The 14,445-nt window shown below is 43.2% G+C and overlaps 1 non-coding gene and 1 pseudogene across 1 annotated transcript; one reads left to right on the top strand and one right to left on the bottom strand.

Annotated features, from left to right (window-relative positions):
* Window positions 1-7,158: 7,158 nt before the first annotated feature.
* Window positions 7,159-7,280, bottom strand: LOC124900247 (small nucleolar RNA SNORA26). Its single transcript, XR_007060662.1, has one exon. It is a non-coding gene; the product is annotated as a small nucleolar RNA SNORA26 (small nucleolar RNA).
* RPL36AP28 (ribosomal protein L36a pseudogene 28) lies at window positions 14,078-14,434 on the top strand (annotated as a pseudogene).

The following is a 14,445-nucleotide window of genomic DNA, read 5'->3' as shown; positions in this document are numbered from 1 at the left end:
TTCAAGCAATTCTCCTGCGTTCAGCCTCCCCCGTAGCTGGGACTACAGGCACTCACCACCACATCCAGCTAATTTTTGTACTTTTAGAAGAGATGGGGTTTCGCCATGTAGCCCAGGGTGGTCTTGAACCCCTGAGCTTGGGCAATCCACCCACCTTGGCCTCCCAAAGTGCTGGGATTACAGGCATGAGCCACCGTGCCCGGCCCCTGTTCAGAATTCTGGCAATTGTAGTGCAAGAGGGACAAGAATCTGCCTCTGCACAAAGTTGCAAAATAATACTGTGGTTCTTTTCTCGTCTAATTTTCATAAACTCTTAACAACAAGCATGTTATTTCTGGAGAAACAAAATCACAGTTTGAATTGAATATAATCTTTATATATAATCTTACAGAGGGACTTTTTGTTCCTGAACTCCTGATAAGAAAGAACTTTTTATGTGACCCGTATCCAACTTGTGCAACTTATCTAAAGTAAGCTCACAAATGTATTTTCTCAAATAATACAATACATACTTCATTATAATAGCCTTGAATTTCCAAATAGGTTGAAAACAAAACTCCTTGTGAGTGGGAGGGGTAGTTTTAACCAAAAAATCAATTAAGTGAGAAGATTTGGTGGTGGTGGTGGGATTAGAAATCCTCATTTTATTTTGTTCTCATAAGCATTTTAAACTGTCCCTCTGGAATCACGTTGTTTTTGAACTTGCATGGATGGTAGGATTCTTTAAGGTAAGGACCAGGTCCTACTCATCTTTGTTTTCTCCGAAACCAGCATATCATTGGTTGAAATAATTCCCATGAAAACTGCCATTCTCTCTGGTGTGTGGACACAATTTCTAACTGACAGGGATCTGAAGTATGGATTTTCAGTAGCTGCTTACGAGTCACTGCACTGAGTCTGCTTATTACAGAAAACTGCCTGACTCAAAGCTCAGCTAAGCCCCCTTGCTTAGCTGCACCGAACCTTACAGAGCATCCCTGTCTGCACTGACCTTGGCCTCTGCCACTCTCCCAGGACACGTGGTTTGTTTCTCTGAGAAGCAATTGTGGTAATGCCACGTTGGGCAGACAGGCTTCTTCAGTGGTAGACCACAGTCAGGAGGAAAGGAACACTCTCTAGGGGACAGCGTTTCACTGGGTGGTTTTCCAGGGACGGTGCGTTGGCAGCACCCACGGTAGGGTGTGTTGGCAGTGTTGGCAGCACCCACCCTGGCCAGGCCTGTGCCTCTGCAGGGCTGCACCCTCCCCAGAAGGCAGTCCCTCCCGCCAGCCTTTCCCTAATGGATTTCCATTTCTATCGATTGGGGACTTAGACGCCGGCAAGCAATTAGTCCTCATCAGGCAGCAGGAGTTTCCTAAGGGGACTGCCAGCTAGTCTAATTGCTGGCAGCTGTGGGGACACTCAGCTGCCAGGCACAGGCTGTTAACCCCCAGTGTCCCGGGCTCCAAACAGTCTCCTGACCTAGCACAGTTCCTCACTGTGGCATGAATTTGGAGATGGCTGTTCTTTATCTTGGAATACTCTGTTGAGAGATTTGCTTTACTCTTCAAAGACACTTTGAGATAAAGTGTGAAGTGCTCAACCTTGCTCTTTAGCAGGAAAATACCTCAGAGAGGAAAAAGCAAAGGAGGATTTACAACTGGTTTCTAGGCCAGCGTGGTAGCTCAGGCCTGTAATCCCGGCACTTTGAGAGGCCGAGGCAGGTGGATCACGTGAGGTCAGAAGTTCAAGAACAGCCTGGCCAACATGGTGAAACCCCAACTCTACTAAAAATTCAGAAATTACTCTGGACATCTGTAATCACAGCTACTCAGGAGGCTGAGGCACATGAATTGCTTGAACCTGGTAGGTGGAGGTTGCAGTAAGCCGAGGTCATACCACTGCACTCCAGCCTGGTCGACAGAGAGACCCTGTCTCAAAAAAAAATTTTTTTTTAATTGTTTCTATTATGGGAATTCTCAAAAACTCACAAAAGTAGAATAAGCCCCCATATACCCCATATATACCCCCATATACCTGTCCATCAGTGAATTCTCTACCTTCTGCCATCCTTTTTGGCCTATTCCCCCCACCTCCGCTTTTTTTCTTTTTACTAGAGAATTTTTAAGCAAATACCAGACGTATCATTTTACTTATAAGTGCTTTAGCATGTCATTCTAATATAGTTTAATACAATTTTTTTTTTGAGGCAGGGTCTTGCCCTGTTGCCCAGAGTGAAGTGCAGTAGAGGGCAGTGGTTTGATCGTGGCTCACCGCAGCTTCAAACTCCTACACTCAAGCGATCCTCCCGCCATGACCTCCTAAGTTAGTAGCTGGGACTACAGGCGTGCACCACCACCCCCAGCTAATTAAAAAAAATTTTTTTAGAGACACAGTCTTGCTATGTTGCCCAGCCTGGTAAAGATATTTCAAAAAATAACCATAACATAATTACTGCACCCCCAAAAAACAGTTCCCTAATAAACAGTTCCTTAATATCACCCACTATCCAGGCATGTTCACATTTCCACAATGCCTCAAAAATGCCTTTTCAGGCCGGGCACGGTGGCTCATGCCTGTAATCCCAGCACTTTGGGAGGCCGAGGCAGGTGGATCACGAGGTCAGGAGATCGAGACCATCCTGGCTAACACGGTGAAACCCCATCTCTACTAAAAATACAAAAAATTAGCCGGGCGTGGTGGCGGGCGCCTGTAGTCCCAGCTACTTGGGAGGCTGAGGCAGGAGAATGGCATGAACCTGGAAGGCAGAGCTTGCAGTGAGCTGAGATCGCGCCACAGCACTCCAGCCTGGGCGACAGAGCAAGACTCCATCTCAAAAAAAAAAAAAAAAAGGTCTTTCTGATGAAAAAATGGCCAACATCATTAATCATCAGAGAAATGCAAATTAAAACCACAATGAGGGCCAGGCACAGTGGCTCATGCCTGTAATCCCAGCACTTTGGGAGGCCAAGGTGGGTGGATCACAAGGTCAACAGATCAAGACCATCCTGGCCGACATGGTGAAAGCCCGTCTCAACTAAAAATACAAAAATTAGCTGGGCATGGTGGCACACACCTGTAGTCCCAGCTACTCGGGAGGCTGAGGCAGGAGAATCGCCTGAACCCAGGAAGCAGAGGTTGCAGTGAAGCCAAGATAGTGCCACTGCACTCTAGCCTGGGTGACAGAGTGAGACTCTGTCTCAAAAAAAAAAAAAAAAAAAAAAAAAAAAACACACATGAGATATCATCTCACCCCAGTTAAAATGGCTGTCATCCAAAAGACAGACAATAACAAATGCTGACAAGGATCGAAGATGTGGTGAAAAGGGAACCCTCATACACTGTTGGTGGGAAGGTAAATTAGTACAGCCACTATGGAGAACAGTATGGAGGTTCCTCAACAAACTGAAAATAGAGCTACCACATGATCCAGCAATCCCATTGCTAGGTATACACCTGTGTATTACTCTGTTTTCACACTGCTGATAAAGACATATCCCAGACTGGGAAGAAAAAAGGTTTAATTGGACTTACAGTTCCACATGGCTGGGGAGGCCTCAGAATCATAGTTGGAGGCGAAAGGCACTTCTTACATGGTGGCGGCAAGAGAAAATGAGGAAAAAGCAAAAGCGGAAACCCTTGATAAACCCATCAGATCTCATGAGACTTATTCACTATCATGAGAATAGCATGGGAAAGACTGGCCCCCGTGGTTCAATTACCTCCCCCTGGGTCCCTCCCACAAGACATGGGAATCCTGGGAGATACAATTCAAGTTCAGATCTGGCTGGGGAAACAGCCAAACCATATCAACCCCAAAGAAAGGAAATCAATGTATCAAAGAGATATCTGCACTCTCATGTTTATCACAGCACTATTCACAATAGCCAAGGTTTGGAAGCAACCTAAGCCTCCATCAACCGACAAATGAATAAAGAAAATGTGGTACATGTACACAATGGACACGTACTCAGCCAAAAAAAGAATGAAATTCCGTCATTTGTGACACAGATGGAACTGGAAGACATTACATTAAGTGAAATCAGGCACAGAAAGACCAATTGCACATGTCTCACTCATATGTGAGAACTAAAATTTAAAACAAACTCATGGGGATAGAGAATAGAATGATGGTTACCAGAGGCTGGGAAGGGTAGTGGTAGGTGTGGGGGTGGAGTGAGGATGGTTAATGGGGGCAAAAATATAGTTAGATAGAATAAGATCTAGCACAACAGGTGACTACACTAAACAATAATTTATTGTGTTTATACACACACACACACACACACACACACACACACACACACACACACACGTATTTTGAGACGGAATCTTGCACTGTCGCCCAGGCTGGAGTACAATGGTGCCATCTCAGCTCAATTCGACCTCTGCCTCCTGGGTTCAAGTGATTCTCCTACGTTCAAGTGATTCTCCTGCCTCAGTCTCCCAAGTAGCTGGGATTACAGGTGCCTGCCACCATGCGCAACTAATATTTTTTGTATTTTTAGTAGAGACAGGGTTTCACCGTGTTGGTCAGGCTGGCCTCAAACTCCTGACCTCAGGTGATCCGCCTGCCTGGGCCTCCCGAAGTGCTGGGATGACAGGCATAAGCAACCGTGCCCAGCCCTATTGTATATTTTTAAATAGATAAAAGAGTCTAATTTTCCATGTTCCTAACACAAAGAAATGATAAATGCTCAAGGTGATGGATACCCCACTTACCCAGACGTGATTATTACACATGGTCTACCTTTATCATCACATGCACCCATGAACATATATACCTATTATGTACCCATAAAAATTAAAAACTAGGCCGGGTGTGGTGGCTCACAACTGTAATCTCAGCACTGTAGGAGGCCAAGGCGGGAAGACTGCATGAAGCCAGGAGTTCCAGACCAGCCTGGGCAACAGAGGGAGATGCTGTCTCCACAAAAAATAAAAAATTAGCCAGGAATGGTGGCGTGCACCTGTAGCCCCAGGAACTCAGGAGGCTGAGGCAGGAGGATCACTTGGACCCAGGAATTCAAGGCTGCAGTGAGCTATGATCACTCCACCACACTTCAGCCTGGGCAACACAGCCAGACTCTGTTTCTAAAAATAAAAGACCAAACAACTAAAATAATTAAAATGTCTTTTCAGTTTGTTTGTTTTTTGGGGGGACGGAGTCTCTCTCTGTCACCCAGGCTGGAATGCAGTGTGCAGTGGCGCAATCTCCGTTCACTGCAACCTCCGCCTCCCAGGTTCAAGTGATTCTCCTGCCTCAGCCACCTGAGTAGCCGGGATTACAGATGTCTGACACCACACCCAGCTAATTTTTTGTATTTTTAGTAGAGATGGGGGTCTCACCATGTTGGTCAGGCTGGTCTTGAATTCCTGACCTCAGGTATCTGCCCACCTTGGTCTCCCAAAGTGCTGGGATTCCAGGCGTGAGCCACCGCACCCGGCCTTTTCAGTTTGTTTGAATCAGGATGAAATCAAGGTCACCCTGAACTTAGTTGTGATTGCATGACGAGGTCGTCATTTGTCCTACACAATTTTACAGTCTAAATGTGGCAGATTATATCCTCAGTGCTCTTTTTTTTTTTTTTTTTTTTTTGTTGAGACGGATTCTTGCTCTGTCGCCCAGGCTGGAGTGCAGTGGCGCGATCTTGACTCACTGCAACCTACGCCTCCCGGTTCAAGAGAGCCTCGTGCCTCAGTTTCCCAAGTAGCTGGTATTACAGGCACCCGCCACCACGCCCAGCTAATTTTTGTAATTTTAGTAGAGACAGAGTTTCACCATGTTGGCCGGGCTGGTCTTGAACTCCTGACCTCAAGTGATCCACCTGCCTTGGCCTCTCAAAGTGCTGGGATTACAGTCATGAGCCACCGTGCCTGGCCGCCTCACAGTGTTCTTTTATGTGCTCCTTTAGCCCCCATATTTTCTATAAACTAGTAGAAAAATTTAGACCATTCATGAGAGTTAGGTTTTTTTTGTTTTGTGTTTGTTTTTGTTTTTCAAGAATACCTTGGGCTGGGCGCGGTGGCTCACACCTGTAATTCTGACACTTTGGGAGGCCGAGGTGAGAGGATCACTTGAGCCCTAGAGTTCAAAACCAACCTGGGGAATAAGACAAAACCCAATCTCTACACAAAATACAAAAAATTAGCCGGGCCTGGTGCCACGCACCTGTGGTCCCAGCTACTCAGAAGGCTGAGGTGAGAGAATCGCTTGAGCCTGGGAGGCTGAGATTGCCGTGAGCCAAGATCGTGCCACTGCACTCCAGCCTGGGTGACAGAGCGACAAAGAAATACAAAGAACAAACAAATAAAAAACCCAAGAATACTTTATAGGTGGTGCTGTGAACTTGCTTTTGCTTTTTATTCAGGAGGCACAAAATCTCTCACTATCCAATAATGTTAGAACTGATCAGAGTTCAAATGTTGTCAGCCTGACCCATCTATTCTAAAGTTCCCTATTAACATTTCACCCAATAATTTTAGCAGATATTGATAATCAGTGGCTAGAATGATTTTGTTAGGGTTTACTAAATGGCAGCATTCTAATGTTTTCATTCCTTTGGCATATATTAGCTATAGTTCTTCTATAGAGAAGAATTCCCCCGTCATGTTTGCAAAGGCAGGATAAATACTTGATTCCTTCCCCTTATTGGTATCAAATTAATGAGTTGCTTCCTTAAGCACCTTTAACTATGAAAATATTTTTGGAATATCATTACGAACTCATGGATTTTTCTATGTTTGATGTGTTTCAATCTTTGCAGTCCTACTTTCTAAAGCTAAAGTTAACCCAAGTTTAACCAATGATAGCCTTTTCCACCGGGCATGATGCCTTGCGCCTGTAACCCCAGCACTTTGGGAGGCTGAGGTGGGCAGATCACTTGAGGCCAGTAGTTTGAGACCAGGCTGGGCAACATGACAAAAGCCTCTCTCTACTAAAAATACAAAAAAATTAGCGGGGCGTGGTGGCGTGTGTGCCTGTAGTTCCATCTACTCGAGAGGCCGAGGCAGGAGAATCACTTGAACCCGGGAAGCGGAGGTTGCAGTGAGCCAAGATCACGCCACTGCACTCCAGCCTGGACAACAGAGTGAGACTCTGTCTCAAAATTAATAATAATAATAAAATAATAGCCTTTTCAAATTTGTTCTGTCAGGACCCCTGCTCCTTTTTTTTCCAGCTGTGACTCCAGACAGGATCCAAAGAGAAGTTTTACAATCTCTTCTTTGGGTTTTAAGGAGACTGGCTTCACCCTTCTGCGTTAGCCTCTTAAAGCATTGCATCAGCCTTAAAGGGGTGCAGGAAAGGGTCATGTGCCCTTCTGAGTTGCCCTACTAGTCTTTGACATTCTTCTGTCCCGTGCTTGGAATAATTGTTTTCCAAGGTGCCATGTTCCTTTCAGTAGAACTTTGAATTACGGTGTTCCTTACTAACAGATTGTTATTGCTTCTTGTCCAGCTTATTATGTTTAAGGAGACAGTGAACCTGTATTAAATTCAGTCTGGTATCAGTATCCTACAAATGTAAATACATCCTCACCCATCTTAAACTTCTTCCTTCCTGCCCCAAACGAACCAGAGTCTAAAATATGCTTTTGATGTCTTTACTTCCATTATTGCCTCACTCTCTCCAACCTTCAGCCTCATCCCCTCTGTGGGTGAATCAGAGATGCCCACCACTGCCTCCCAGTCCCCTATCTTATCTCCTCAACTGTACTGAAGGAGGTATTATTATTGCTCCATTTTATAGATGGAGAAACTGAGGTCTAGGAAGTTCACATATATGCTAAAAGAGTTAATAGTGTACTGAGCTAAAAGGGTTAATAGGGTACTTGGGACAGCAAGAATGACCTTTCTGACTCATTTTGAATCTTCCGCAATGCTGAACACAGAGTATGTCCTCGCTAAGGTTGCAACTGAATTATCACCATGCCACATGCTTGGTGGTGACGTGCTGTCTCAACCCCTCATCCAGGCACTTTTTCTCCCGCACCCAAGAAGCTTCATCCCACAACCAATTCACAGAACCGGAATAAAATAAAACTCTGATTGGTTCTGTTCCGAAGAAGCCATGCTTTAAGGAAGAAAAATCGTGCCTGGAAGAGCTGTCAGCTTCATTACGGGCCCTGCAGCCAGCCACGTGGGAGAGCAGTCGAATCCTGGAGAAGGAGCGGGTTAATGACCAAAACCCCTCCCATGGCACACCTGAGCCCCCCCACACACGTGGTGTTCTCAGAAGCCACACGATGGGGGAAATCTTTTCTCAGTTCCTTAATATTTCAGAAACAATATGCCACTAGCGATTTCTCATCTTTTCTAATTCTCTGAGGAAGATTATTTCAGAGAACCAAATAAGAGGTCCATATAGTAGGGCAGAGTGAGCTCAAGAAAAACCCTCTGCACACCCAGATGGTTGTGGATGCCGTCTCAGCAGTGGGGAGACCTCAGGAGAAGTGGGTAAAAACACTACAGGTCCTCCACATGGGAGGCGTGGACCCCAGAGACGAGCTTCAGAACTAACCCCCATTCGTGCTTCTTCGTTGAGTTTCTACTCACATGCTTTGCCCATTGGCTATCTTGGTCTGTCTTTGTTCTGTAGTTGAAGTAGTTGAAGTCTTTACATGCTGAGAATATTATATCAGCCTAGCCAGGGCGTTTGGGGTTCTTAGGGTTGAATAAACTACCCAAATTAGCTTAAGAGGGAACTTGGCCAGGCACGGTGGCTCATGCCTGTAATCCTAGCACTTTGGGAAGCCAAGGCAGGTGGATCACCTGAGGCCAGAAGTTTGAGACCAGCCTGGCCAACATGGTGAAACCCTGTCTCTACTAAAAATACAAAAATTAGCTGGGCGTGATGGTGAGGGGCCTGTAATCCCAGCTACTAGAGAGGCTGAGGCAGGAGAATCACTTGAACATGGGAGACGGAGGTTGCAGGGAACTGAGATCCTGCCACTACACTCTAGCTTGGGTGACAGAGTAAGACTGCCAAAAAGAAAAAAAAAAAAAGAAAAAGAAAGGAAGGAAGGAAGGAAGGAGAAAAGAGGGAACTCATTGACTCCATAACTGGAAGCCCAAGAGTAGATCTACACTCAGGTGCAACAGGATCCAGGGACCCTAACAATAACTCAAACCTTTCTCTCCATTTACCTTTCACCTTCCCTCATCTCTGTTTGCCTTGATGCCATCCTTCTGCAGTTAGCTTTTCCTTCTGTAGCCAGAATCATCGGCAACCACAGGACACCTCAGTCCTTCAAGCTTTGTCAACCCAAAGGTAAGGTCCATTCTTCTTGAGCTCCAAAGCCAAAAGGAGACTCTTCTTAGGGAAAGGGGATGCTGAACAACCCAAAACAGCAGATGCTCAGTACACTATTAACCCTTTTAGCATATATGTGAACTTCCTAGACCTCAGTTTCTCCATCTATAAAATGGAACAATAATACCTACAAGTAGCCGTTAGATAATGCATGTAAAATGCTTAGCACCATTCCCAGCACATAATAACCCCTATATTCATGCTGGCTCTTGTTATTATTTTTATCATTATATGCCTTTCCTAGATGGGTCATCTTTTAATTCTACTTATGATATCTCCCACTGAGTAGAACTTAAAGTTTTTTCTGTGACCAAACCTAAAAATATTTTCTTTATGGCTTCTGGATGATGTCTTGTATAGGAGAGACTTCCCCACACCAACATTACAAAAACATCCTCTTACATCTCCTTCTAGTATTTTTGTAGTTTTATTTATTTATTTATTTGAGATGGGGTCTCACTCTGCCGCCGAGGCTGAAGTACAGTGGCGTGATCGCAGCTCACTGCAGCCTTGACCTCCCCAAGCTCAGGTGATCCTCCCACCTCAGTTTTTGTATTTCTAGTAGAGACAGTTTCATCATGTTGCACAGGCTGGTCTCGAACTCCTGGGCTCAAGCTATATATATATATATATATATATATATCTGGCTCTGGCTCTTCTCCCACAAGCTATTATTCCAAAACCATTTTTTTGTTTCATTTTTGTTTTTTGTTTTTTTGAGACAGAGTCTTGCTCTGTAGCCCAGGTTGGTGCAGTGGCGTGATATTGGCTTACTGCAACCTCCACCTCCCAGGTCCCAGTTCAGGCAGTTCTCCTGCCTCAGCCTCCCGAATAGCTGGGATTACAGGCACGCACCACCATGGCCAGCTAATTTTTGTATTTTTAGTAGAGATGGGGTTTCACCATGTTGGCCAGGCTGGTCTTGAACTCCTAACCTCGTGATCTGCCTGCCTCGGCCTCCCAAAGCACTGGTATTACAGGCGTGAGCCACTGTGCCCAGCCTCCAAATAAACTTTTAAATCAGCTTATAAAGATACAATTTTAAATGAGTTGTATTTCATCTTAAAATCGGATTGAATTTATGGATCAGTTTGGAAAGAATTAGCATCTTCATAAGAATGAGCTTCCCTGACTAGGAAGCAATGCAGAGCTCCATTGATTCAGACATTCTTCATGTTCCTGAGTTTTAGAGAATAAACATAACAAGGAAAATAAACATAACACATTCACTCTTATTCCTAGTCCTAAATATTTTATGGTTTTGGTGGGCTTTTGTTTTGCTATTAAATAAAATTTTATTGCCATTAAGTTTTCTAATTTATCGTTATTGCCTTATTATTACTATTTTTTTTGAGACAGAGTCTCATTCTCCCAAAGTGCTGGGATTAGAGGCGTGAGCCACTGCACCCAGCCTGCCAATGCTATTAATATATTCGTGTTTTACTCATAACTGGTTATCCTGTTGTGCTCTTTTTATATGAACAATTTTCCGTTTTTAGTTGAATTATTCTGTTTTCTTTTCTTCTGTCATCCAGGCTGGAGTGCAGTGGCATGATCAAGGCTCACTGCAGCCTTGACCTCCTGGGCTCAAGTGATCCTCCCACCTCAACCTCCCGAGTAGCTGGGACTACAGGCATACGTCACCACACCCAGTTAATTTTGTGTGTGTGTGTGTGTGTGTGTGTGTAGACAGTGTCTAACTGTGTTGCCCAGGCTGGTCTCAAACTCCTAGGCTCAAGTGGTCAGCCCGCTAGGCCTCCCAAAGTGCTGGGATTACGGATGTGAGCCACTGCACCTGGCTAGTTGATTCTTACGATTTCATAAATAACCAGTTGTATCATCTGTAAGCAGTAAGTTTGTCATTTCTTTTTATAAACTTAGTTTTGCTCTCCTTATTTCTCGCAGTGGCTAGGGCCTACAGTAAGATACTGACTAGTAGTAGTGCTATGCAGCATCCTCGTCCCATTCTTGACTTTAAGGAGAATGGCTTGTGTTTTCACCTTTAAGTGTGGTTGCTGCTGTTTACTTCTTTATCAAAGTGAAGCAGTTTCCCTATATTCCTTTTTTTTTTTTTTTTTTTTTTTGAGATGGAGTCTTGCTCTGTCATCCAGGCTGGAGTGCAGTGGCTCAATCTTGGCTCATTGCAACCTCTGCCTCCTGGGTTCAAGTGATTCTCCTGGCTCAGCCTCCCGAGTAGCTGGGATTACAGGTGCCGGCCACCATGCCTGGCTAATTTTTGTATTTTTAGTAGAGATGGGCGTTTCACAATATTGTCAGGCTGGTCTCGAACTCCTGACCTCAGGTGGTCCACCCGCCTTGGCCTCCTAAAGTGCTGGGATTACAGGCGTGAGCCACTGCACCTGGTCCCTTATATTCCTAGGTTACTAAGAATTTTTTAGGACTGATTGTTGCATCTATTGAAATAATTTTGTTTTTCTACGCTTATCTATTAATATAGTAAACTGCATTTGTAGTAGATTTCACACTTTTATGTCTCCCTACCTATTAATTTTTAATTGATTACTGGATTTGATTTGCTAATACATTATCTGGCATTTTAAATCAATGTTTATAATTTTCTTTTTAGTGTATCTTTGCCCAATTTTGCTATCAAGGTTATGCTAACCTTGTGGAATGAATTGAAATTCTTTCCACTTTTTCTTCTATTCTCTGGAGCAGTTGAATAACAAAAAAAGTGTGTTACCTATAACTTTTTGGAAGTTTCGATAGAATTTACCTATTAAACATGAAATTTGCTTGGAATATTTTGGGGAATAAATCTGACTATATTTCAATTTTTTCTTTTTTTCTTTTTTTTATTTTTTGAGATGAAGTCTCACTCTTGTCCCCCAGGCTGGAGTGCAATTGCACGATCTCGGCTCACTGCAACCTCTGCCTCCTGGGTTCAAGCAATTCTCCTGCCTCAGCCTCCTGAGTAGTTGGGATTACAGGCGCCTGCCACCATGCCCAGCTAATTTTTGTATTTTTAGTAGAGACAGGGTTTCACCATGTTGGCCAGGCTGCTCTCAAACTCCTGACCTCGTGATCCGCCTGCCCCAGCCTCCCAAAGTGCTGGGATTACAGGCGTGAATCACCGCGCCTGGCCACTCAATTTTTTCTATTTTTGATTAATTTATGTTTTCCAAACAAAATTGTTTCAAACTATCATCTGTATTTTCAAATGTATTATTAAACTTACAATTTCTTTTCCTTATTTACTTGATCTTTTAATTTTTTTTAAAGAATTTCATGTCTCTAGTTGTCATTGCCTTGTCAAATTCTATTATTTCCAATAGGGTTTACCTTATTATTTTAAAGCTATATTGCTCAATTCATAAAAAATTATATCTTAATTAATATCTTTTATTAATATAAGTATCTATTTTAGTCCCATTAATGCTTTTTGTTGTATCTACTGCAAGTCCTGCTTTCTTTACTTTTCCTTCTCTTTGTCCATCCTATATTTTCAGACCTGCTGTGAAATTTGTGTTTTGGATGTACTTCATGTAAAAAGCATAACTTTTTAAACGCAATGTAGGTTTCTTTGTATTTTAATAGAACTTGGTCTATTTAACTGTTTTATTTAGCCTATTTAAATTTTTAATGCTCCTCGATATGGCTGGTGTAATTTTTAATATCTTCATGTTTTCTATTTAGATATATGTCTTGTAAAAAGCTTATAACTTTTTAATGCAATCTGAGATTGTTTGTACTTTAATAGAACTTAATCTATTTAAAATTTTAATGATCCTTGATATGGCTGGTCTAATTTTTAATATCCTCATATTCTGTTTATCTTGCTTTTTATGGTTTGGCTTTTTTCCCCCTTCTGTGTTTTGCTGCTTTGATCTGATTTTCTTTATTCCTTTCCCCTCAACTTAGTAGTTCCACTCCCTCTTGCTATTCTACTGACTATATTAGTTTGACTTATTTTTTGTAGCTGCCCAGAAAACTCTGTTTACCAATTAAGTACTTAACAAATTATCTTGCTGAAAATGATAACTACAATAGCAATGACATCCACAAAACGATCGAAACCTTCTAAATCTGCTTCATTTCTCTGGCATCATCTAAAGTAGAATTGAAAGCTCATAGTTTCAAAATTCTCCAAGTTAACGTTCCCCTCTCGATTCTCTTGCTGCCCACTCACTTGAACTCTGCCGTCTTGCTTAACCTTTCTTCCCACACACTGCCCACAACATTCCATATTTGGATGCTTTTCTTTGAAATGAAATTCTCTCATTATCCATCTTATCACCTAGGTCACTCCAAAGCTGCGACAGTCTCTATCCACTCAGATTTAAAGGTAGAAAACATAAAAGTGGACTCAAAAATTCATTCATTCTACTATCGCATTTGAGATTAAGAAAAAAAAATTGCCTTCTGTGCCAATAGCGATCCTGCAAACATGGTGAATGTTCCTAAAACCCACAGGACTTTTTTTTTTTTTTTTTTTTTTGAGAGAGTCTCGCTCTGTTTTGTTTGTTTGTTTGCTTGTTTTTTGAGACAGGGTCTCACTCTGTCACCCAGGCTGGAGTGCAGTGGTGAGATCTAAGCTCACTGCAATGTCCACCTCCTGGGTTCAAGCGATTCTTCTGCCTCGGCCTCCTGAGGGGCTGAGATTGCAGGCACCCAACACCACGCCTGGCTAATTTTTGTATTTTTAGTAGAGACGGGGTTTCACCATGTTGTCCAGGCTGGTCTCAAACTCCTGACCTCAAATGATCTGCCCACCTTGGCCTCCCAAAGTGCTGGGATTACGGGTGTGAGCCACCATGCCTGGCCAACCCGCGGGACTTTCTGTAAGAAGTGTGGCAAACACCATCCCCACAAAGTGACACAGTACAAGAAGGACAAGGATTCTCTGTATGCCCAGGGTGAGTGGGTTATGACAGGAAGCCGAGTGGCTATAGTGGGCAGACTAAGCCGATTTTCCGGAAAAAGGCTAAAACTACAAAGAAGATTGTGCTAAGGCTTGAGTGCATTGAGCCCAACTGCAGATCTAAGAGAATGCTGGCTATTAAAAGATGCAAGCATTTTGAACTGGGAGGAGGTAAGAAGAGAAAGGGCCAAGTGATCCAGTTCTAAGTGTCATCTTTTGTTTTATTATGAAGACATAATAAAATCTTGAGTTTATGTTCAAAAAAGAAAAA

The sequence above is a fragment of the Homo sapiens genome, chromosome 7, assembly GCF_000001405.40.
Source record: "Homo sapiens chromosome 7, GRCh38.p14 Primary Assembly".
NCBI lineage: Eukaryota > Metazoa > Chordata > Mammalia > Primates > Hominidae > Homo > Homo sapiens.
Note: the sequence above shows the minus strand (reverse complement) of the source record. Positions and strands in the feature narration are given on the sequence as shown.